Source organism: Homo sapiens, chromosome 12, assembly GCF_000001405.40.
Source record: "Homo sapiens chromosome 12, GRCh38.p14 Primary Assembly".
In the NCBI taxonomy this organism is placed as follows: Eukaryota; Metazoa; Chordata; class Mammalia; order Primates; family Hominidae; genus Homo; species Homo sapiens.
This window is the reverse complement of record NC_000012.12, coordinates 102,185,981-102,212,186: the sequence shown is the minus strand read 5'-3', so window position 1 is coordinate 102,212,186 and position 26,206 is coordinate 102,185,981. Positions and strand designations below refer to the sequence as shown.

Sequence of the window (26,206 nt, the reverse complement as noted above, 5' to 3'; positions counted from 1 at the left end):
GATCTGATTTGCGTTGTCAAAGGTCTACTCTGGATGCTAAATTTAAAAGAAACTGTTGGTGGTGGATGGCAAAGGTGGTGAGGGAATAAATGGAATAAAACAGAAAAAAATCCCCTGCCCTCAGCTTACTTTCTAATTTTACATTTCAATGACCTGAAGCAGATACTGAATCTTACAAAGGCTTTTCTTAATTCAGTTAGTTATAAAATTACATACAACTCGTTACAGCTAATCTCAACAGATACCTGCAACGACAGCAAACAGTAGATAAGCAGGTGCTTCTGGTGGATATACACCAAGTTCATTCTGCATTGAGCAAGGTGAGAAACAGAAGAGGCACACTAACTGGTTCTACTTACTTAAATCTCTAAAGAAGGGTGGATGTCTCCATAATCTGTCCAAGCAATTCATGTGCCATTTCAAAGGTCTTGAGACTAATAAACCACTCTATCAACAAAAGGAAGTCATGTTAACACAAGGCTATAAAGATTCATGATTTCTCCTCTGTGATTCACATGTCACACAGAAGCCTCTGGTTTTCCCAAAAACGTTAATAGAAATTTCACAGCAATTATTTTATTTTTATTTATTTTTTTGAGACAGGGTCTTGATCTGCTGCCAAGGCTGGAATGCATTAGTGTAATCATGGCTCACTACAGCCTCAACCTCCTGGGCTCAAGTGATCCTCCCAGATCAGCCTCCCAAGTAGCTGGGACCACAGGTGCACACCAAGAGGCCTGCCTTTTTTTTTTTTTTTTTCAATTTTTTGTAAAGATGGGGCCTCACTTTATTGCCCAGGCTGTCCTTGAACTCCTGGACTGAAGTGATCCTCCAGCCTCAGCCTCCCAAAGTGCTGGGACTATAAACATGAGCCCCTGCACCTGGCCCTGAAGCAATTACTATTATTACTAATTGAGACAGGGTCTTGCTCTGTTGCACAGGCTGGAGTGCAGTGACACAATCATGTCTTACCGCAGTCTTGACCTCCTGAGCTCAAGCGATCCTTCTGCCTCAGCTTCCTAAGTAGCTGGGACCACAGGCATGTGCCACCATATCTGGCTTTTTTCTTTTTTTTTTTTTTTGGTAGAGATAGGGTCTCACCATGTTGCTGAAGCTGGTCTCAAACTCCTGGGCTCAAGCAATTCTCCTGCCTCAGCCTCCCAAAGTCTTGGGATTACAGGTGTGAGCCACCACACCGAGCCTAGAGCAATTATTTTAAAACAACAGTAGCATCATTCAGAAAGGCCACATCTGGAGCGGTTAAGAGCACAGACTTCTGGAGCAGAGTGTCTGGGTTTCAATCTCACCACCGCTTACTAGGTATATGACCTTCAGCAAGAGACAGTCTCTACTCATAGGATTGTTGTGAGGACTAAATTGGCTAAGGCATGACATGTACTTGGGACGAAGCTTGGCACATAGGAAATGTTCAGTAGGCATTGTTTAACAGTGTAATGATATTTATTGAATACTTATGTCATAGAAACTACTGGGTACTTACATATCAATCCTCACAACAATCTTTGGAAATAGGTACTATTGATATCTGTGCTTTGCAGGAGAGCAAGTAGGCACAGAGCTTAAACAGCATGGTCATGTGCAGATAATACTGTTTTGCCTCTTATATACTAGAGTTGATAGTGTTTATACTTCTGGCAGGCCAAAAAATGGCCCCCAAAAGTATTCACACTGAATCCCTGGAAGCTGTGAATGCTATCTTTTAAAAAAATATTTTATTATTTTTATAATTTCAACTTTTTAGATTCAGGGTGTACATGTGCAGATTACTTGAGTCACCCAAGTACTGAGCATAGTACCCAACAATTTTTCAGCCCCTACCCCCTGCCTTCCTTGCTCCCTCCCCTAGTAGTCCCGAGTCTACTGTTAGCACCTTTATGTCCACAAGTACCTGTTTTACTCCCACTTATAAGTGAGAACATGTGGTATTTTGTTTTGTTCCTGTGTTAATTTGCTTAGGATAATGGCTTCCAGCTGTTTCCATGTTGCTAAAAAGGACATAATTTTTTTTCTATGGGTGCATAGTATTCCATGGTGTATAATACCCCATTCTCTTTTTCTAATCTGCTTTTGATGGGCACCTAGATGACTCCATGTCTTTACTATTATGAATAGCATTGTGATGAACATATGAGTACATATGTCTTTTTAGTAGAGCAACTTACTTTCTTTTGGATGCATACCAGTAATAGGATTGCTAGGTCAAATGGTAGTTCTGTTTCAAGTTCTTTGAGAAATCTGCAAACTGCTTTCCACAGGGGCTAAACTAATTTACATTCCCACCAACGGTGTATAAGCATTCCCTTTTCTCTACAGCCTTGCCGGCATCTGTTGATTTTTGACTTTTTAATAATACCCATTTTAACTGGTATAAGAAGGCATCTCATTGTGGTTTTGATTTGCATTTCTCTAGTGATGCTGAACATTTTTAAATGTTTGTTGGCTGCTTGTATGTCTTCTTTTGAGAAGTGTCTCTTCATGTATTTTCTCCATTTTTTAATGGGGCTATTTGTTTTTTGCTTGTTCAACTGTTTGTTTCTTATATATTCTAGATGTTAGACCTTTGTTGGATGCATAGTTTGTGAATATTTTCTCTCATTCTGTAGGTTGTCTTTTTATTCTGTTGATAGTTTATTTTGCTGTGCAGAAGCTCTTTAGTTTATGCAGGTCCCACTTATCAATTTTTGGTTTTGTTGCAATTGCTTTTGAGGACTTAGTAATACGTTCTCTCCTATGACCAATCTCCAGAAAGATGTTTCCTAGGTTTTCTTCTAGAATTCTTATAATTTGTGGTCTTACACTTTAATCCCTCTTGGGTTAATTTTTGTATATGGTGAAATATAGAGGTCTGGTTTCATTCTTTTGCAATGTGACTAGCCAGCTATCCCAGAACCATTTATAGAATAGGGAGTCATTTCCCCATTGACTATTTTTGTCAACTTTGATGAAGGTCAGGTGGCTGTAGGTGTGCAGCTTTATTTCTGGGTTCTCTGTTCTGTTCCACTGGTCTATGTGTTTCTGTTTTTGCACCAGTGCCATGCTGTTTTGTTTACTGTAGCCTTATAGTATAGTTTGAAGTCAGGTAATTTGATGCTTCCAGCTTTGTTTTTTTGTTTAGGATTGCTTTGGCTATTTGGGCTTTCTGTTGTTGTTGTTCCATATAAATTTTAGAATAGTCTTTTCCAGTTTTGTGAAAAATGATATTGATAGCTTGATAGGAATAGCATTGGACTTGTAGATCGCTTTGGACAGTATGACTATTTTAATGATATTGATTCTTCCAATCTGTGAGCGTAGAATAGTTTTCTATTTGTTTGTTTCCATCTGGGATTTCTTTCAGCAGTGTTTTGTAGTTCTCCTTGGGGAGATCTTTTACCTCTTTGGTTATTTGTATCCTAGGCGTGTGTGTGTGTCCATGTGTATTGTAAATGGAATTGCATTCTTGATTTAGCTTTCAGCTTGAATGTTATTGGTGTATAGAAATGCTACAAACTTCTGTATGTTAATTTTGTATCCTCATACTTTACTGAAGCGCTTATGAGTTTCAGGAGCCTTTTGGCAGAGTCTTTAGTTTCCTAAGTATCGAGTTATATCATCAGTGAAGATAGTTCGACTTTTTCTCCTATTCGCATGCCTTTTATTTCTTTCTCTTGCCTGATTGCTCTGGCAAGGACTTCCAGTACTATTTTGAACAGGAGTGGTGAGAGTGGGCATCCTTGTCTTATTCCAATCTCAAGGGGAATGATTCCAGTTATTGTCCATTCAGTATGATGTTGTCTGTAGGTTTGTCAGAGATGGCGCTTATTTTTTGAGGTATGTATCTTCAATGCCTAGTTTTTTGAGGGTTTTTATCATGAAGGGATGTTGGATTTTACTGAAAGCTTTTCCTGTGTCTACTGAGATGATCATATGGTTTTTCTTCTTAATTCTGCATATGTGGTGAATCATATTTATTGATTTTCATATGTTGAGCCAACCTGCATCTCAGAAATGAAACTTACTTGATCATGGTGAAGCAATTTTTTATGTGCTGCTGTATTTGGTTTGCTAGTATTACGTTGAGGAGGTTTGCATCTGTGTTCATCAGGCATATTGTCCTGTAGTTTTCTTTATTCATTTTGAATGTTACCCCTAAAAGAGTCTTGGCAGATGTGACTAAGAATCTTGAGATGAGGAGATAATCCTGGTGGGCCCTAAATGCCATCACATGAATCCTTATAAGAGAGAGGCAGAGGAATATTAGGAACAGACACAAAGAGGAGAAGGTCATTGAAGACAGAGCAGAGGATGCTACCACAAGGCAGTGAATGCCAACAGTCACCAGAAGCTGGAAGAGGCAAGGAAGGGCTCTCCCCTAGAGTCTCTGGAGGAAACACAGTCCTGTCCACGCATTGATTTTGGGCTTTTGTTGCCTTAAGCCATCAAGTTTGTGGTAATTTGTCACAGCAGACCTAGGTAATAAGTAAATACTCTATCATATTCTAGAACCTATCATAGTTTCTACCATCTGTTCTCTTAATGAAAAAATAATTCATACATTTATTACATGTTTATTGAAAGGCTACTATGTGCCAGACTCTGTTCTTGATACTCTGTTCTTGATACCATCTCCCTCACTGGCATTAGAGGAAATGGACAATAAGCATGTAAACAAGTAAGATAATTTTAGACAGAAGCACAGTGAAGAAAATAAAGGAGTGAAAGGAATAGGGAAAGAATGAGTGGGAAGGGGGCTCCTTTAGCTCATAGGGTCAAGGAAGCACTCTCAGAAACCATGATATTTGAGCTGAGCATCACAATAATGAGTGATAAATGCTCAGATAAATAACAGGAGAAAGATGCTCCTGACAAAGAGAATAGCAGGGAAAAAGTCTTGCGTCAGAAATGATCTTGGCATATCATAAAAACAGAAGGCCAATATCACTAGAGAGTGACGAAAGAGGGACAGAGTAGCAAGAAATAAATTTAGCAAGGAATGCATGGTCCAGGCCATGTAGGACATTTGTATCAATTATCTATTACTATAGTAATATGGTGTAACACATGCAAAACTTCAGAGGGTATACAACAATAAATGTTTATGTCTTATGCTTTTTGGGTCAGTTGGGCATCTGCTAGGCAGCTCTACTGACCTCAAGTGGACTTTCTCCAGTGTCTGGTGCTTGAATGGATGTGTGCTGATCGAGGATAGCCTCAGCTATGGCAGTTAGGGTAGCATGGCTCTCCTCCATGTGGCTCTCTCCAGCAGGCTAGCATGGGAATGTTTTCATGGTGGTGGCAGAGGCTCAAGAGGGAATTCCCAATGTGCAAGACCATTTCAAGCCTCTGCTTGCATGATATCTGATAATATCTCATTAGTTAAAGCAAATCACATGCCTGAAACCAGAGTCAAACAGTGGGCAGGTTACCCCACCCACAGTGGGAAGGCATGCCAAAGTTACATGGCATGAATATAGAGAACAATGAAAAAGTGAAACCATGAAGGCAAGCTTATGCAGATATTTAGGGCCTTGATAAATTAATAAATATAAGAAATAATTATATTTAAACAGGATGATAATGTATTACACATGTTGGAGTTCAGACAAGAGGATTTGGCTGTAGTACTCAGAGAAAGCTGCAAAAGGAAGGTCTTGAAGGATATTTTAGATATAGATAGGTGGAGGGACAAGATGAGGGTATTTTAAGAGCAGGGAATATCATAAACAAAGTTATGATGGCAAAAAAGGACTACAAATACATAGAATGAAAAGAATGGCATGTATATCATTATCAAGACACTTTCATCTGATCCAATCTCTATCACAAACAGAAGAAAATGAAGCAGAACAAATGAATCACATGTTCCTCCTACATAGTAAAACCACTACATTTCAAAATGTTTTCAGTCTAGAGTTCTCAATATAAGTAGAAATGTCTGAGGGTTAAAGACATCCATGAGTACAAACATAAATTCCTAACATGTGTTAGAATGAAGACTCAATACACTACTTACCATAATGGTGAAGAAACCTGAAATTATGAATCAATGTATACAAAATAACAAGCTTTGTTGGTAACCCAATGTTGAAAGCTATCATCAGATTGTTATTCTCGAAGCATACTATCAGATGACTCCAAAAGTACTCAGAATCAAAACAATATCCAAGAATCATCTTTACAAGGTAACTGAAAAATTTAGCCATGAACATCATTTCAAGCATGTTCACATAACTTTTTTTTTTTTTAATTGAGATGGAATCTTGCTCTGTCGCCCAGGCTAGAGTGCAGTGGTGCATTCTCAGCTCACTGCAACCTCCACTGTCCGCATTCAAGAGATTCTTGTGCCTCAGCCTCCCGAGTAGCTGGGACTACAGGCACATGCCACCACAGCCGGCTAATTTTGTTTTTTTTACTTTTAGTAGAGACGGGGTTTCACCATATTGGCCAGGTTGGTCTTTAACTCCTGACCTCAGATGATCCATCCTCTTCAGCCTCCCAAAGTGCTGGGATTACAGGTGTGAGCCACCACGCCTGGCCTTACATAACTCTTAATGTTACTTATATCTTGATTTGTGGCAAAAAGATGTTAAGGCAATTTTCAAGATATTAGTCTACAGCTCTAAAAATTGGTGATGTGTAATTCACTACAACTGGTTTCTTCATTTCACTTTTAAAATAATTCTGTTTGGATGACACTAAGAGCAACATACCATCCAGTAACGAGATCCAGGGAAGCAGCTAGTCCACTAGTACTCATAGACAGAGATGAATTCAAATGTGCATATAATTAACCAAAAAGAGGAAACTATATCCATAATTCAAATCCACATTGTTGCAAAATAAATATTTAAATCAATTCATCCATGTTTACCAGCTGTAACAGTGGAACAAAGCTTGAGGATATCCACGTTCCTACTCAACTGGTCTCACAGTTACTGGACTAATTACAGTGGAGCATCATAAACTCTCCCTGTGTCTCCCACCCCACTATCTCACAAACCAACTGCATTGAGCATGGTGAGAAGATACCTTACCCACTCCAATTCTTGGAGCAAAACAAGAGCTTAACCATCTTCACCACTCTCAGCTGGCCCCCATATCTCGCGTCTCTAAGTACTCTCTACAAGCCCACATGCTGGAAGCCTTGGATCTCTCTTCTGAGCCTTCAAATTAAAAACAAACAAACAAAAAAACTCAAGTTGACTCTTCTCAAAGAAAGAAAAAAAAACTGGAGGTCAACTTACCAACCAAATTCAAACTGTCTCAGAAGGATAACCTCCTAATTTTATTGCTGAATTCTGAGTGGCCTAAACGCCTACCAGGAGCTACCCTTCCCTGCCAACTACATCAACTCCACACACACACACACACACACACACACACACACACACACCTTCTAAGGGAGTGTCAGGACTAATTCCCTTGCTAGCCAAATTACCACACCTTGTTCTCTCTTACCCTTGCTCTCCATCCAGATATGAGCCCCTCTAGATATCTATCCTCCCACACTTTCATCTCTAAACAGCACTGTGTTTCTTCTCTCTTCTCTCTCCAATCTTTGTACTATACCTTCTGAATAACAAATACCCTTATAGCGTTCTCCACTTCACTGATCCCATTACCACCACACATACTTAAGAGTTGGGAAGGAGGATGAATGTCTATTTTATTCCATACTGTTTACAGCATGTAAATCCTTTTGTTACTTGAGTCCCACAAATTCAGCATAGCCACTTCTTATCATGCTACAATATCTTCCATCTTTAAATAGCAATAGCCAACTCTCTTCCATCTACAATCTAATTTTTCTGCATTCTTCAGTGTAAATCGGTGACATACTATTTATATTCACTGTTTCCATTTGTTCTCTTTCCATTCTTATTAAATTCTCTCCTATCAAGGTTGAATCTCTACCAGTGTCATTGAAACTGCTTCATTAAGGTCAGCAATGACTATCACATAGCCAAATCAAAGATAAATTCTCAGTTCTCATCTTACTCAACCAGTAGCATTCAGCACAGCCAATCATTGTGCTTTTCTATATTTGAGATGATCGTGTTTTTGTCTCCTGTATTCATTTACAGTGGTGAATTTTACCAATTTTTTTCTGAAAGTTCAATTTTACATTCCTGAAATAAACCTCACCTGGTCATGAAATTTTACCTTTTTCATAACTGGATTCTATTTGATAACATTTTGTTTAGGATTTTTACATCCATGTTCATTAGAAATATTGGCCTATAATTTTCCCTTCTTGTAATAGCATTATCAGGTCTTGGTACCAAATTTATGCTAGACTCATAAAAAGAGTTGGGAAGTGTCCGTCAGAAGTCAATCACAGAAGCAGAACAACACACATACATATTCACATATACAGAAATATATACACAATTTGTTACATAAATCTGTCTCATGCAATTGTGAAAGCTAATTAAGCAATATTAAGCAGATCATTCCATCTAATGCTGGAGTCCACAGGGCAGGCTGCCAGGAAGGAAAGATGGATGTAAAGTAGGGAAGAAGAAGAACATACTGGAATTCACCAGCATGAGCTGAAACCCATGAGGATAGACTGAAACTCATATCATATCTTGCTGCATCTGACCTCAATGGTATGGATGTCCTCAGGACAGCTAGTCTCCTTTGTCACAGAACTGCACACATGTGTCCCAGGAGTCAGAGAAACTGAAAGTGGATCCAGCGAAAGTGGAGCAGTCGCAGGTCTGACTGCTGCAGAGCCAACGACATGAGCCAGCAGATAAGCGACATCATGTGTGAACCGTACGTGACATCTGCTTCACTTCTGCTCTCCAATCTTATACAGGAATGTCTCATGTGGCCCACTCCAGTTGGAAACATAGATAAAGAGAAGAAAATTCTGGGGTTGGGGGGAATTTCTGGGGTGGGAGGAATATATATGTAATATATATAACTCTTACAACTCAGTAATAAAAAGAAACATCCCTCGCCCAACAAAATGAACAAAAGATCTAAACAGACACTTCACAAAAGAAAATATATGAATAGCTAACAAGCACATGAAAAAGTGCTCAACATCATTAGTTATTAGGAAAATGTAATTAAAACACGATATCACTACTCATCTACCAGAATGGCTAAGATTAAGACTGACAACATCAAATGCTGGTGAGGATGTGGAGCAACCAAAGCTCTAATACAGTCTTTGTTGAAGTATAAAATGGTACAATCACTTTGGAAAATAATCTAACAATTTCTTACAAAATTAAAGATACATCTATCTTATATCCTAGCAATTCCATTCCTATATATTTACCCAAGAGAAATAAAAACACATGTCCACAAAAAGACTTGTGCAAGAATGTAGATAGTGTTATTCGTAATAGCCAAAAACTGGATACAATTCAAGAGTCCATTAACAGGAAAAGAGACAAGTCAATTGTAGTATATTTATACAACGGTAATAAAAAAGGAAGGAACTACTGCTTCTTACAACATTAAAGATGAATGTCAAACATGCTGAGTGAAAGAGGCCTTCCATAAAAGACGTCATACTGTATATTTCCAAAATAGGCAAAACTAATTCACAGCAGAAGAAATTAGAACAGTGATTGTCTAAGAGCAGAGTTGGAATGACGGGTGGGAGTGGGGAAAATGGTGGTACATGTAAACTCTAACAAGGTAAGACATAACTTTCTGGGGTGATGGCAATGTCTTGTATCTTGAAAGGACTTTGGGTTTCATAAGCAAACACATTTGTCAAAAATTAGCAAATATGCACTTATAGTTTATGCATTTTACTTTCCATAAATTTTACTTCAAAAAAAAGCTGTAAACAACTATTAAATTCCAGTTAATGATACGTATGTTGAAGTATTTCATGAAAAGCATACTGATATATGCAATATCCTTTGAAATGCATTAAAAGAATAAGATGATTAATAAAGGGATGAAGGGATAGAAGTAAAACGTTAATGGTAAACGCTAGGTGAAAGTGTATGGGTTGTTTACTATAGAAATCTGAGAAGGAATTTTAAGTTTTCTTATATCTTTTGATAATTTATATAAGTGAGCAATCTTGTTTTTACACTCATACAATTAGCCACTAAGAAATTGATGATTCTCAGTAAGCCAATGGCCAATTGCCATTTAATTTACTGGTGACACATAGCAAAGATGTGTTAATTGGAACAAAGAGAAATTTAATAAAGTGACTTGCAAATATACAGTGTTAGCAGTAGTTCAACAGAAAATGAAGATCATATTTTATATAAGCCTTTTGCCTTTGTAAGGTTTACTGAACCACCCAAGCCCATCTGGCAATAGTTTTACTTCTCCAAAGTTCCCTTCTACTACTTGGGGACATACCATTTTCAGCATCAATGAAAAAGAAGTCTACTATGCTCCACTGCACATCACAGTAACCAAAGTTTTTTTTAAAAAAAGTTATCATTAAAAAAATTGGAAACTATCTCCATAATTAAATGGTTATGGCAAAACCTCATAATGCTCAGAGGCTATGACAGTTTAAACAAAATAAAACATTAACTTCTCTAAACCGTCAAAATCATTTGGATTTGGTCCCAATTTTGAGTGAAGATCAGCCAAGCCAATTCATCCAGTGGAAATTTAAAACAAAGTACATAATTATTAATATTTATTACCCTCCCACAACAGCATCTAAGAAAAAAGATTTCCATTAACAAGGACTTTTTTTTTTTTTTTTTTTTTTTTTTCCAGACAGAGTCTCGCTCTGTCGCCTGGGCTGGAGTGCAATGGCACCATGTTTGGTTCACTGCAACCTCCGTCTCCTGGGTTCAAGCAATTCTCCTGCCTCAGCCTCTCCAGTAGCTGGAATTACAGGCACCCACCACCATGCCCAGCTAATTTTTATATTTTTAGTAGAGATGGGGTTTCACCATGTTGGCCAGGCTGGTCACAAACTCCTGACCTCAGGTGATCCACCCACCTCGGCCTCCCATGGTGCTGGGGTTACAGGCGTGAGCCACCGTGCCCAGCCTAACAAGGACTTTTATAGATTAAACAGGCACATCCAAACCAGGTTCAAACCAAGGGAAACAAAGTAGGGCACAACTAACAACATTAAAAAGATAAGGAAGCTCTAAGATCAAAGAAGTCAAGGGATGTCAGAGTCCTTTGTTTATAATTATAATCACAAAACATTTACTGAGAAAGATCTTAATAGTCCCCGAGAAAATCAGCAGTTAAGTCTACCTCAGATAAAAAGTACTTAAGTGAAATGGACAAATTATACAATAATGTAAATTCCTAAAACAAACTAAAAAAGAAACAGAGAAGCTAAATGTTACTACAGCTACTGAAGAAAGTACATCAATTCTTAACAACAAAAATCCTACCAAGAAAACACCAAACCCAAAGTCTAACAAGAGAGAAAAGAAAGAAGGATAAATCTTGCCCTCAATGTAAGAAATTGGTACAAACTTAATATCAAACCAAAGTCAATATAAAAAAGGAAAATTACAAATCAATCTTACTCATAATAAATGTAAAATGTACTAAATCAAATATTGCCAAATTGAATCCGATAATTTAAAGGTTTCTTCATGAACACATGGTTAGTTTAACATTAGAAAAATCTGTTAATATTTCCAAAGACTGAAGGAGAAAATGATCTGGTCATCTCAATATATGCAAAAAAAGCATTCAATAATATTCAACAACAATTCATGATAAAAACTATTAGTAAGCCAGAAACAAAAGAGAACATCCTGTACTTTATAGCAAGTATCTATAAGAAACCTACAGCAAACATTACGCTCAGTGGTGAAGCATTAAAATCATTATCTGTAAAATCAGTAACACTGTAAAGATATCTCTTCTCTCCATTTTCAGTATTTACTGGAGGCTTTGGCCAGTGTGTATGAACACATGAACAGACACAAAGACATGTATACACAATATAGATGAAGTTAGGAGAAAGAGATAAAATGCCATTATTTTATCATTTATATCAATTGTCTTCATACAAAATCCCAAAGAATCTATACATTTATAAACAATTAAAAAGAAAAAAAAATAAGAGTTTAGAAAGTTTTTTTCTGTTATCAAATTACTATGCACAAGCCAAATGCACATGCACATACCAGCAATAATGTTAGAAAGATCATTTCAAAATACAATTTATAATAACCAAAAATAAGAAATTCAATTAAATTATAAAGAATTATAATTCTCTCAACAAAGGTATGCAAGACCTTTATGAAGAAAAGAAAATGTCATTAAAAGATTAAAGAAGAAAAAAAGATTAAAGAAGATCTAAGCAAATACAGAAAAATGTCATGCTCATAGATAATAAATTACCTTCAGGATATCAGTTCTTCTCCAAAATTAATCTATAAATCTATAAAACCAATGTGATTATAAGTTGAGCATCCCAAATCTGAAAAGCCAAAATCCAAAAATGCTCCAAAATCTGAAACTTGTTAAGCATTAACAATATGCTAAAAAATATATATTCATTGAAGCATTTCAGATTTCAGATTTTGGGATACTTAACTGATATAATGCAAATGTTCCAAATTCTGAAAAAAATATCCCAAATCCAAAAATACTTCTGGTCCTAAGCATTTCAGATAAGGGATACCTAACTAGAACCTTAATATCCTGTCAAGTGTTCTTACGGAACTTGAAAAGCTGATTTTAAGATTTATATGGAAAAGAAATGACTAAGAATAGCTAAGGAACTGCTGTAAAAGAAAAACATGTGGGTAAGTAGAGGGCTGGGAAATTTGACCAGATATTAAAAATTATTTTAAAGTTATATTAATACTGTAGATTTGGCTGTGGAATAGAACGTTCTGAAAGGAGCCCACACATATATAGAAATCTGATATACTGTAGAGATGGCACTGCAGATTAGTGGGGACAGGATGACTTCTTCAAGAAATATATAAGGACATTGGAAAAAGTAAAATTACATCTCTATCTTATATCATACACAAAATTACAGATGAATTACAAACCTAAACATGAAAGTCAAAATATTTAAACTTTTAGAAGAAAATATATGAAAACACGTTAATAATCTAAGGATTGAGAAGGATTTCTAAAAAAAAACAACACATTAAAAGTAGTTGCCATAAAGAAAAAAGAAAAATATTTAAACATTAAAATTAATCAGTTTGGTTCACCAAAAGACACCAGAGGGGTTGAAAATATGTCACAAACTGAGCGAAAATAATTGAAACATATATAACTAACAATTAATATCCAGAATATATAAAGAACTCCCATAAATAAATTAGAAAAAGACAACCCAATAGAAAAATGGACAAAGCCAAAAAAGAAAAAAAAAAAAAGCATTTAACATAAGAGGAAACATAAATGGCTCAGAAACATATGGGAAGACACTTAACCTCTTTGGTAATTAGGAAAATACAAATTAAAAGGACAATGAGACACAAGAGTCAGCTAGGACATGGAACAATGGAAATTCTCATACCCTGCTTATCGAGGGCACAAATCGCTTACAACTATGTTGGAAAACATTTTGGCATTAGTAAAGCTGAACATATACATACTCCATGATCCAGTAATTCCATACTGAGAAATATACTCTAGAAAAATTCTTACATATATGTACCAGAAGACATATAAAAGAATGTATTATCTTATTCATTGGGGTCAAAATTAGAAATTAACTCTGAAATGTTTAATTAAAAGTCATACAACATAAACTCATCATCCAAAAGTAATGTTTATGGGCACATAAATATTCTTTTCATGGACTAATTCATTAATTTCTAAATTCATTAATAAATATTTGTACATATTATCCTTTTGTAAATGCAGAGATAAAATACACCTGACAGGTCAATTTTTGATATAGCATGAATGGCTTTTTGTTCACACTGACAGGCATATGTACTTTAATCACCAAAAACTATATCAAGTATTTATAAAAGAAAGTCTCTTTTGAGGATTATTTCAGTTTAATCAGGATTAAAAGGAAATAAAACTTTATCCTTATCATCCTTGAGTGAAATAACTTGAGTTTTAATATCTTTACTTAATCAGAAAATACACAAAAGGAAACAATAATATAGAGAGAGCCTGATGTCCTGTGGTCTTCCTTAATAACAACCCATTTTCAAGAGACTATAATCTACTCAACAGAAAGCATTCTACCAAGGATCTTAGTCAGATTCTGAGAAAATTCACACTCAAAATAAACAATGTGTCACTAAAACCAAAACAATGTAGGTATTAGCAGCTGCATAAAGGTTAGCCTCAATCTAATGAGTCATTTCTAAAATGATGAAAAGTATAATTCTTTGAAGTGCTTTCTATTCAAGCTAGAAAATATATAAAGATACAGAATCGTTTACCAAGCAGGCTGACAGAGAAATTTTTCATTTTCTTTCTTGTTTGACTGTATGCAAACATCAAACTAAGAATGGCAAAAATGAATCTCTCTTCCTATATATTAATACTAACTTTTTCTTTGTTTTCTCAAGGTATTTTACTTTCAGCATCCAAGTCCATAAGAAATTTAGATGATGACATGGTATTTAATACATTCAGGTTGGGGAAAGGCTTTCAGAAGGAAGACACTGCAGAAAAATCAGTTATTGCTCCTTCCCTGGAACAATATAAAAATGATGAGAGCAGTTTCATGAACGAAGAGGAAAATAAAGTTTCAAAGGTAAGTGGCAATGTGACTTGTCGTTTATTTCAATGAAAATTTAAATGATTCTTACAAATCCTCTGAAAAGTAAAACTGATACTTTTATAAACAGAAGTATATGCAAACAGTCACAATATGCATTAGGACGACTGACGATATTTCTTACATGCCAGGTAGTTCTTCCATCCCAGCAAACACCTCTTATCTGAAAGTGTTTTTTCTCCTATAAATTTGCATCTAAGGTATTTTTAAAAAGTCAAAAACAGTGCAGAGTAACTTTGAATTGATCAACAAGAATATTATACAATTGTATTATAGTTCCACTCCGAATACGATAGCTAAAAACCAAATCAACCTTCTCTTTACAGAACACAGGCTCCAAACATAATTTCTTAAATCATGGTCTGCCACTGAATCTGGCTATAAAACCTTATCTTGCACTAAAAGGATCTGTAGCTTTCCCAGCTGAGAATGGAGTTCAGAATACTGAATCAACACAAGAAAAGAGAGAAATTGGGGATGAAGAAAACTCAGCTAAATTTCCTATAGGAAGGAGAGATTTTGACAGTGAGTAGTCTTTTCAAAATTCAATTCTTACATCCTACCACCATTAAACAGAACTCTGAGTTAAAGTGAATTTGGATGCAATCATAACAAAATCAAATAAGACCATGGCTCAATTACACCTGCCAAAAATGTGGGATTAAATAGCAACAATTAATTATTATCATTTTGGTTTACTCAGAATTAGTTATACTAGATCCATTCTTTTTTTCTTAATAAATTTTGTGTGATAATTATAGTCCTTTAAACAATTTAAACTTTCTTCTTCCTTCAGTGCTCAGATGTATGCTGGGAAGAGTCTACCGACCTTGTTGGCAAGTCTGATACCTGTTGGTCCACATCATCTTTTCAGAAGAAAATAAAAGCATTTAATTGCCAATGGGAGGAGAAGCCCATACTGCTACTATAACTTGTGTATGTTAAATGTCTGTTTTAAAAGAAAGTAGTGTTAAGATGTATCAGTAACTGAAATGATATGCTTTCTCTGTGCATTAAACTTTGTGAAAATTCTGCATAATTATGACTTACTAGTATTTTTAAACAATGCTTAACATACTAACCTTACATACACTGTAGACCAAAATAATAAATCATCATAATTTACACCTTGATCTCTTAAAAATTAAGCATGTCTTTGGTGAATGGTTTATAGATACATAAACCTAAAGCATATAAGACACAAATTTATAGTCTAAAAAACTGAGTTAACTTTGCCTGGCCAGAAATCAACTTGTCCTTGGCAGTACATTTATTACTTTTTGCTACTTTAGCTAGTTTGCCGTACAATCTATTCTGTGAATCATTTGATTTCTTAGGTATTTTAGCATTTTTATGTTGAGGTGGTTCATTTCTATTATCACAGAGAATATTTTCACCATCCAAATCCACCTGTTTCCTTTTTGAGCTTTTATTTCCTGTCTGACTGGTTGATTTTCTTGATACTTTTTCATTTTTACTTCTGTCCAGATGAACATTTCCAAAACTCGTTCCAATTGTTGATCTTCCAACAGATGGATTTACACCCTCTGTTATGCAAGATAAAAAGGGGAAAGGAATTACATGATATTGAGTATTAATATTTACGAGAACTTTACAATAAACTTTAAAAATGGCTAACGAATATTCAAATTTTTAAAGTAAAATAATGCTATAAATAATATGATTGACAAATATAGCTACATTACTATCCTATTACTTTTCATTTTATCATAGCACCTCTGAGTTAGCTTTGGCCAGTAATCAACTTGTCAGCCCTATTAAGAAATATTTGTTTGAATGCATGACATTTAATCCTTAAACATATGCTACAAATTACTTCTTAAATACATTTAGTTAAATCAAACTGTGTCCTATTCCTATCGATAAATTTGTACTTAGATTTAACTTTTTAAATAAACTGAGGTCTTTAAAAATATTACCCTTTACATTTCATAGTACTTTGCAAAAATAACCTAATTTTACTTAAGTTAAAACTAATTAGTAGACTAGAATTAAATTGTTATTTAATTGCACAAATAAGGTCAATTACCAGAAAGGTCATTTTCCATGTAAAGAACACACAAAGGCTTTGATGCTAAATTAACATTATTCCAATTATCCTTGCTTATCATGTAGTCATCTTTATAAGTACAAGCAAATTGGGATCTAATTAAAGTTTGCTTCATCTAGTAACAGAAAGAAAGAAGAAAATATGCAAATTTATTCATTATTTTATTTCTTCATCTAGATAGACACACACTCTATAGTAATCAAGGTATAAAAATTTCCCTTAGAAATTCTATTACTCATTGAGAACCTCTCTCTAACCTTTTATATTTCATAGTTTGCAAACTCATTCATTGTTATGGCTAGCATTTTTGTTCTTTTCCAAAATAATAGCTTTATGTATATTTTTGATTTTTTTTTTGGTAACAGTTACAAAACAATCAATTTTAGACTCTTCGCAGGGCTTTGTTACATGTTCCTGTGTCAGCACTGCTTTGGAGCGTCTTATTGTAAGTAAAATAACAATACAGGTGATATACATAATCATAGAAAAATACAAGTTCTTCATCCTAAGAAGAACACACTCTTGGAAAAAAAATAGCATATGGAATTCAAGAAATTAGGGAGGGAAGAAATGCTAAGATGAAAAAAAGAACTAAGTGAGGTCAATCAAAAACAGGAAACTAGCAAAGAAACTGCAAGATAAAACAAAATGATATAGGAAAGACATTATTTCTCGAGTATTTAGGAAAACAAGAAAGATGATTCAATGTATCAGTCTAGAAAGATTTGACCAAGTGACTTAATGGTCAGAAATCCAAAGTATACTCTTGCATTTATCTTCAAACATCAAATAGGAGGGCCTAACTTTCTACATAAATAGGAGAAAATTACAAAGATGAACTCAATTCTTGATCACTGAAAAGGATGCCAAAAAAAGTAGTTTTGGAAATTTGTTCCACAAACATAAACCAGTGAGCTATTGGGGATAGAAATTAATTTTAGAACAAAGTAGCCTATACAAATAATGCCAATTTCAACAATTACAAATGATGTGTAATACCATTCAGGTTTAATGGAGAGATGTCTCCAAATAATTAGAAGTCACCTGAAATCATTTTCTGACATAGACAAAGTTTCAAATACATAATTCAATAAAGATGACTTCAGTAATTCAAAAATGTAACACTTCGAGTATAACTACATTACCCTGATTATTACTTACAGAGTATTTGTTGATACAGTCATGAAATCTAAAACAGCATGACTTTATATATTCAGTAGTTATATATTATATGTTCAAAGATCGATGCATTAATTCACTCAGATGTTTGTAAAGACAATGGCAGTGAAATCTACTGACTATGACTTAGAAAAAGTTAGAATATTCGTCTGTCCAGCTGCTTCATAAAAGCAAGTTTTCCTAGGATGACAAATTTTCTATCTTTCTGACTAATGAGGTCTGTGACAGTCTCCATCTCCCAGATCACTAAAAATTATGTTTCATGTGCTTACATGAAGCATTAGACAATTGGAGTTTTATCTTCCATTTAAGCATAAAATGCACAAAACTGAAAATAAACGTGAAAATATACAAGATCAAAAACTATTTTTTTAAAAGTTGAACAGAATGGACTCACAACCCACTACCTTCATGAATCCCTATGAATGCAACACTTATTAAATAGCTTCTACCTCAAGATGCCCTATATGTAACTGAAGATTTTAAGTAGCTCTTTCTGGACTTTATTAATCCTATAACTACAGATTTAAAGCAGTAGATAAACCTATTTAAATAAGTTTTATTAATAAAATTGACTCTATATTATACTACATAATAGTAGCATTATCCATGAACTTTTATTTCCATCTGCAAAACCAGTACTAACTGTTGACATTATCTTATCACACATTATTTTCACTTCACAAAAGTTATGGCTTATAGAGAATTATAAACTTATTGCTTATAAAGAGTTATAAAGAGTATAGTAAGACCACGCAGGCAAATAGATGCTGAGTGGCTGGCTTGGATCACTCTTTGTAACCCAATAGTGATGGCACCTAGAGTTAGCTTGGGAGATGTTAGCTTCTCACTGCAAAACTCTCATGAGCACCACCCATAAAATATTCTAAATAAAAACATAATACTAAATAATAATTATATTATTTAGTACAGAAAACTAATGTTTCTTCAATCTCATGTTTAGCACAAACAAAAATTTCTTTAGAATGTTTTGTTACTTTTATTAATTTTTAACATATAGTCTAGGTAAAAAAATCTTTGCTTGCTATGCAAATAGTCACAAAATAAGCGCAATAGCTCTCCTTACAACTAGATTTCCTCAATTCAGCCTCCCCCACAGACAAATTCTAAACTCCTCAGAGACCCCAGTACAATTTCAGAAAACTACCATCACAAGGCAATGGATTCCTGAAGTACTGAAAACAAGTTCAGATGTAAAAGAAAAATAATTAATGACTTTCTCTACCATGAAAAATATTATTTATAAATATATTAAAATATAAGAAATAAACACAACAGAACTCCCCCCCTTTGTATATTGAGATTTTTTCTTTTCATAAAGGATTATATGCAGATTTTCTTTCCCTTGCCCTGTACAAAAATCTCTTTTTTTTTAATCAATTACCACTTATTAAGTTCCAACTATGTGACAAGCACAGCGTATACTAGAGATTACTAGGATGGCTTCTACAACTTCAAAAACATTCTACTTATAAAATTTGCTATTGACAAACAGCTGGGAGGAATAACAAATAAACTGGATAACAGAATCAAGATTGAAAAGATTTCAGAAGGCTAGAACCATAAGTAGAAAATAATAAGATGAAAATGGATGGGGATAAACAAAGTCCAGTATTTAAGTTTAAAAATATCAATTACAGAGGTACAGGATGAGGAGAACCTGACTTAAAAACAACATATGTAAAAGACCTAGAGATTTAAATTGATATGAACTTGACTGAGCCAACAACTGTCCAACTAAGAAAGCAGCACAAAAAGATAAGATGATGTGATGGGAAAAGCATCAGATTTGCAGTCAGAAGACCTGGCTTCTAATGCTGGCCGTATTACTTACTAACTAGATAACTTTGGGGAAACCATTATACCTCTCACTTATCCACACATAATGGGAATATTTACCTCACAGAATTATCAGAATTGGATGCAGTTAACATATGTCAAGGTTATATAAACTGCAGAAATCTATGTAGACACTATATCATTATTATTGTAATAACATGTAGGAAGAGAGTATTCCTGTAAGAAAAAGATCTGTTCAATTAGATATCTCAGAATCAGGCCAGTTCTACAATGATCCTAGGAATGCAGCTCAAAAAAATGAACTTACAAACAGCTTCTTCATTTTAATTATTTAAACAACGCAACCTACATTGGCTTATATTTATAACTTAAAAGAGATTGCTTTTCCTTTGTTCATAAAAGTTGAATTTTTCTACACAAGATTAGTGGCTACATAGAACTGAGATTACTTCCTGTTGCAAATCTTCCAAATCTCTCTGTGTATTTGATTTGGAATCACAAATAAGCAAAACAATTCCCTCTTAAAAGTGCTTTTGAAGTACTAAACAACTAAGAATAATGTCCAGATTCATACATGGCTGTTAAAATCATTTCATGTTCAAGTCACATGAGAGAAATGGATTGAAAGTATTCCTTTGTAGAGTGATTTCCTCCCTTTGGAAATATTTCTATCCACAGCATAATTGCAATGAACTTCACACTTGCCAAGAACTGGAAAAGTCCTTTTGCCACAAGCTCTTTTTAATTTGAAATTATTAGTAAGTTCCCAGTTTGAGGAAAATAGTACTTCACATAGGAAAGCCTGACTCCAGTTAAATTAAAATAAATGAGTCAAAACACTGAAAAGTCATAGACACTCAGAGTTAGCTGTATTAACACGAAAATGAAAGTTCTAAACCCCCATTATACCAATAAATATATTAGCAAGTTTGAAAAAGGAAATTATTCAACATACCTAGTAAATATGTAACTAAAAATATTCTAAGTTTACCTTATTTTTACATTATCACATTTTTGAAAGAACAGAGATTTTATATCCTTAATGACATATTAATTGTATATAAATCAAATAATCCTTTTCTTCATCAGTGAAATTCCATTTACTCTGCTTAATAGCAGAAAAAAATCTTTTTGACCTAAGTAGTAGCATTATCGTTTTATGATCCTACATCATAATTGTCATGCCTTTATTTAATCTTTGAAGATAGCATAAACATTGAAGTCTGACACCTGACTATAAACCCTTGCTGTTACTTACTATATGTATGGTCTGCAAAATGATGCCTTCCAGAGTTGAGCAAGGATTAATTGGGATGAGGGATATAAAATATCCAGTATAAACACTGAACACTTAGTAGGTACTCAATAAATCCTGATCCCATTATTTCAGCTAAAACAAATTCAATTTTAATTCAGTCTAATACAAACATTCCTTTTTCATTCTAACGGAAAATGTTGCTCAGTCCCTTATAGACTTTGCTGAATGTCAACCTTCTCAAGGAGACTCCTACTTATGGCTATTTAAAACCCAAACACACACAAAGGAACCCCACTTTCCTTAGGCCCCACCCATTTCATTTCACTCCACAGCACTGATAACCTTCAAATATACCATATAATCCACTTGTTTGTTTATTGTCTGCTTCTCCCAACTAAAATATAAACTCCATCAGCAGTAAAACCCTTACAGTTTGACAACTGATGGCCAGCTGTGGTCCTCCTGTTGCCATCCCCTCCTTACAGGGTGAGGAGTGCCCAGAGCTTTAGACATGCTCACCAGGAAACCATGACCTCCTTTATAGATCCTGTTTCAAGGACCCCTGGGCACTGGGCTGGCACTGGCCTCTTCCTTTAGCCTCAAGAGCTGACTGTTTATGGCAAGGGTGATGGGCTGTGGGGTAGACAGACCTACTGGCAGAGTATTCTTCAGAGTATGAAACAAAATCAAGGTTGAAGGGGTTTCAGGGTAGGCCAGTGGCTTCCATTTATATTATTGCACCTCAGCTGTATAAATCTTTAGAGAAGCCTTGTCCTTTAGGGCAGGAAGGTTTGTCTGTTTTTTTCCACTGATGTATCTCCAGTGCCTAGGACTGAACTTGGTATCCAGGAGGTACTTACTGTTTTTTGAATGAATTAATTAATGAAGTAAAATTACAACAGACTATAACAAGTATATGCAAGCAGAGCTGTGAGGGAACAGAAGCCATGAGCAAGCAAAAGTTTGGAGGTGGAAAAAGAGAACAGACTCTATAAGGTAACCACACGATAATTGTATGCTTGTATCAAAATACCACATGTACCCCATAAAAATATACAACTAGTATGTATCCACAATAAATTTTTAAAAAGTAAGTAGACTTGAAAAGAACAACTACATCACCCTAGGAACACAAGCTTTGAGGTAGAAAAATATGTTCAGAGTAAACTCTACTCTGTTCAATAGGGTAAAGAAACCAGTTGGTACAGAAACAAGAGAGAAATATACATGCAGAGAAAACCTAAATCACATTTAAGTACAAAGAACCATGCAGCTGAATTCCTTAAGCTGCTTAATTTCCACCGTTTACTTTTGAGTTCTTAAATATTCTGCCTTTCTCTCTCGTCCTTACAATAAACCCCTTAAAAAATTACTCTATTCCTTAATACCATAAAAGGCATACTGTCCTTAATCTTCCCCAACATTATTTATTCACTGTTTTTTTTCACAACTACCCTACACACATTCTCTTTACAACAGCAAGGCAATTTAATACTTTCATCATCAGTTGTTTGAAATGCTCTATTTCAATCTCTCTGCCTATTCAAATCCTATTTATTCTCATCTCTTATTATTTCCTCCACTTAATATGGGTCTCTAGTTATTGCATTTAAGTGTATCTTTAATCCATTAGAACTGCATTGTTTAATGTGCTAGCCATGTGCGGATAATTAATTACAATTAAATAAAATTTAAAACCCCGTTCTTCAAATGCAGTGGCCACATTTCAAGAGCTCAATAGCCACATGTGACTAGGACCTTCAGTAATGAACAGTACAAACACAGATCATTTCCATCACTGAAAGTTCTACTGGAGAGCACTGCTCTAGAACAAAGCTTTACAGTCTATGCCCTGTGGCACATTCATGTCTGCAGATGGATTCTCAAAGGACTATGGGACATTTTGTAGTATGCTGGGTCCACACATTTGGAACCCATAGGCAACTTTATATTTGTAAAGGAAACCCTGCATTTGTCCACCCTCTCTTCTAAATGCTAGGTAGTAATCTGATGTGAACTGACCTTTGGAAAGAATTATGACCAATGTATCTTCAAATATTGTTTCTACCCTATTTTCTCCTCTCATTCTGGGACTCCAATTAGGCATACGTTAGACATTTTCTCTGTGTCCTGCTCTTCTATTTTGCTTTTTCATTTGTTTTTCTCTCTTTTCTCTCCAGTTTGGAGATTTTTTTAATGCTCCATCTTCAAGTCCACTTACCCTACCTAATGCTGTGTCTGGTCTTCTACTAACCACATCTAACAAGGTCTTAATTTTAGATAATGTTTTTACAATTCTGGAAAAACATTATCTTTTTTGTTCTATGTCATCGATTCTAAATCTCTGTTGGAATTCTCCATTTTTTTCATATATTTTGACCATCTTTTCCTCCAATTACTTTTATAAGTTAATTTCTTTCTGATTCCTTGCCAGTAAATTTCAGTATCTGGATCATTTGTGAGTCTCCCTCTATTGTTAAATGTTTTCCCTTTATTAAAGGACAAATCATCTTGCCTTTTCTCATGTCCAGTATAGTTTATTTCATGCTGGATATTGCACATAAAGGAACTCTAGAAGCTACAGATGACCTCTTCCAGCAAGAAGAGTTCTCCTTTTCACTGTTAGGCAGACACAGTGAAAGACTGATAACCTCAATACAATCAAGGAATGAGCTGCATCAGAGCTGGGTTGCACTTTTCATTAACTCACATTTGACTTCTGGTTCTTATCTCTTCCTCGGGTGTGCTCTAAGCTTTCAACTGCGAGCCTTGTAGGGATCTCTGTCACCTCTGGCCTAAAATCTGGGAGATTCAGTCTGTTTTTCAGGGGTTTTCACACTATGTTCTGTGATCTCCCACCCCACTTTATTTCCAAATATGGCAAATATCTTGAAAAAAAAAAAAGACCAGCCACGTGTTTGAGGCACGTCCCACTTCTCAAGTGGAATCAAGGTGGTTTTAGTCTATTGTAGTAAGGCTCCCTACCTCCCCACACAACTACAAAATTCAGAGTATGTGTCCTAGGTAAAAATAACTGCATTTAGGACTGCTAAAGTTTCCAATTTGTTGACAGCCCCTCAAGACACCCAAACACTTTGGTGGTTTCTCTGTTCCTCAATAGAGTTCCTTTACATGGGCTAACACCAATCCTCAGCTCATATTCAAAAGTAGCAACAAATCCCAGGGAAGAAAGCAGCTGACAATAGACTTCTCACATCAGAAGGATGTTATCCTGTCCAGATTTTTAATTTTTTAAAAATTCTTTGATTATATAGCTCTCCTATGTCTTTAAAATATATTTTCCCCAACTTATCTGCCTTTTATTGTTTTGCTATCGTAGCGAGAATGGTGTTCTACCATGACGTACTATATCCTCATGAAAAAAAGAAGTCTCCACATCACAACTTGATTCTGTTCCTTCCTTATCTGACAGCATTTTATTTTCTCCTCAGAGTTACATTTTGAAAGCTGCATTTTTTCTGTTATCCCTCATTTTTCCGTAGCTTGAGGAACAGTAGAGGTAGAAGCTCAACTCATCTGAGGAGACAGGTAGTCTATGAAAATTTCTGGGTTCTGCACTCTAGGAGTTTATTACATATTGTATATACCAGAGGAAGGTTCACTTCATCTCATTAGGGAGTGTATTTCAATCAAGTGGAAGGAAAGCATTTGGATAATTTCCCCAATTCAGTAGATAGAACTAGAGCCTTTATTTCTCTCAGTGTGTAAATCCCAGGGTTCATTTTCCACATTTTGTCTATATTCCTCTTCCATTGCCACTTCTACTATTTCTCTAATGAACAAGAAAAAAGAAAAAAAAGGAATGCACACCTTAGTTCTCAGTTTTGGAAGTATTAGTGGTAATCCTCAGAATTTTGCTAATTCACTAGTTCTGTATCTGGGGACTAGGACTAACTAAAGTTGCCAAATCATTCTATGCCTCTTCACTCTGAAATCTTCAGTTTCTTTCCCTGACCATCATCTTTTAAGCTTATTGCATCTGATTACATTATTCTTTCTTAGTTGATGCTGATTATTTTTATTAGTTTTTATTACTTTGTACTCATTTCAAGTATCAGGCAGGGGAAGAAAATTCTATTAGTTAAACTCAATCCACTATTTTAATTTAGATGTACTCAAGAGTTTTCAAATATCATAAAGGTTAAATTTGAAGTTTCTAATACCATGGGGTTAAATAAAAGAATTTGTTAATACCATAGGCATTGGACTACTACCTGGGTGTTTATGAAAATAAAGAGTTCTAGCCAGTCCAGTTTTTTATACCAAGTCCTGACTTTCACTGTCCCAACAGCTCCATGTTAAAGGTCCAGTATTTTCCTGATTAGCACACTTAAGTTATTGACTGGCTAAATGATGATTACTCAGACATTCAATATAATATGCTATAAACATTAGACTCAGAATAAGGAAAAGACCTGTATATATGACTTTTCAATTGTGCCTGATGTGCAAACTACCACTAAACCAAGTTGGAAAGAATAAAGCCAATTAATTCACAGGGATTTAAGGAGGTATCTCCTTGAAAAATCATTTAATAAAAAGGTATAAGGGTACTTATAATAACTTACTTAAAGTGCTTAATAAATTAAAAAGGAAATTAAAAAATTTCTTGAAACAAATGAAAATCGAAACACAACATACCAAAACCTATGAGATACAGCAAAAACAGTACTAAGAGGAAATTTTATAGCAATGAGCACCTACATCCAAAAACAAGAAAAACTTCAAATAAGCAACATAAATATGCATCTTATGGGACTAGAAAAGCAAGATAAACCAAAATCAAAATTAGTAGAAGAAAAGAAAAGGATTAATAAAGATTAGAGCAGAAATAAACATAATTGAAACCAAGAAAACAACACAAAATATCAAGGAAATGAAAAGTTAATTTTTTGATAAGATAAAATCAACAAACCATTAGCTAGACTAAGAAAAAAAGAGAGATGACCCAAATAAATAAAATCAGAAATTTTTTTAAAAAAGGAGACATTACAACTAATATTGCAGAAATTCAAAGGGTCATTAGAGACCACTATGACCAACAAATGCCAATAAATTGGAAAACCTAGAAAAAATAGATAAATTCCTAGATGCATATACACAATCTACCAAGATTGAACCATGAAGAAATAAAAAACCTGAATAGATCAATAATAAGTAATGAGAC

The 26,206-nt window shown here is 34.8% G+C and overlaps 2 protein-coding genes and 1 long non-coding RNA gene across 76 annotated transcripts in view, besides 1 other annotated feature; 1 reads left to right on the top strand and 2 right to left on the bottom strand.

Moving 5' to 3' along the window:
- Positions 1–1,442: 1,442 nt before the first annotated feature.
- On the bottom strand, positions 1,443–8,932 carry LOC124902998 (uncharacterized). Its single transcript, XR_007063426.1, has 2 exons — positions 8,606–8,932; positions 1,443–7,163 (listed from the first exon to the last, which is right to left on the bottom strand). It is a non-coding gene; the product is annotated as an uncharacterized LOC124902998 (long non-coding RNA).
- Positions 8,240–8,409: an enhancer, noted in NCBI's record as "experimental_22888 CRE fragment used in MPRA reporter constructs". NCBI's record gives its function as "activates a minimal promoter by MPRAs in K562 erythroleukemia cells, with activity observed for the non-introgressed 12:102597641 variant allele {active_cell/tissue: K562}" and the evidence as "EXISTENCE:reporter gene assay evidence [ECO:0000049][PMID:34662402]".
- Positions 8,933–14,353: 5,421 nt separating the features above from the next.
- On the top strand, positions 14,354–15,728 carry PMCH (pro-melanin concentrating hormone). Of its 2 annotated transcripts, NM_002674.4 has the most exons (3): positions 14,354–14,665; positions 15,016–15,214; positions 15,486–15,728. In NM_002674.4, exons 1-3 carry the CDS (start codon positions 14,417–14,419, stop codon positions 15,533–15,535), a joined length of 498 nt encoding a protein of 165 aa, NP_002665.2. In that variant the 5' UTR covers positions 14,354–14,416; the 3' UTR covers positions 15,536–15,728. The 2 variants fall into 2 exon arrangements, with proteins under 2 accessions (NP_002665.2, XP_016874972.1); XM_017019483.3 differs by lacking the exon at positions 15,486–15,728 and having other exon boundaries at positions 15,016–15,222.
- PARPBP (PARP1 binding protein) overlaps positions 14,667–26,206 on the bottom strand; it is a 77,338-nt gene continuing 65,798 nt past the window's right edge. For 38 of the 73 annotated variants that reach the window (NM_001400893.1, NM_001400925.1, NM_001400855.1 and 35 more), the window contains one exon: positions 14,667–16,236. In NM_001400893.1, coding sequence (NP_001387822.1) covers positions 16,164–16,236 — 73 coding nt within the window. In that variant the 3' untranslated portion in view covers positions 14,667–16,163. Of the gene's footprint in view, positions 16,237–16,739; positions 16,876–26,206 lie in introns of those variants that run through there. The other 35 variants (NM_001400870.1, NM_001319993.2, NM_001400871.1 and 32 more) reach the window with 3 other exon arrangements.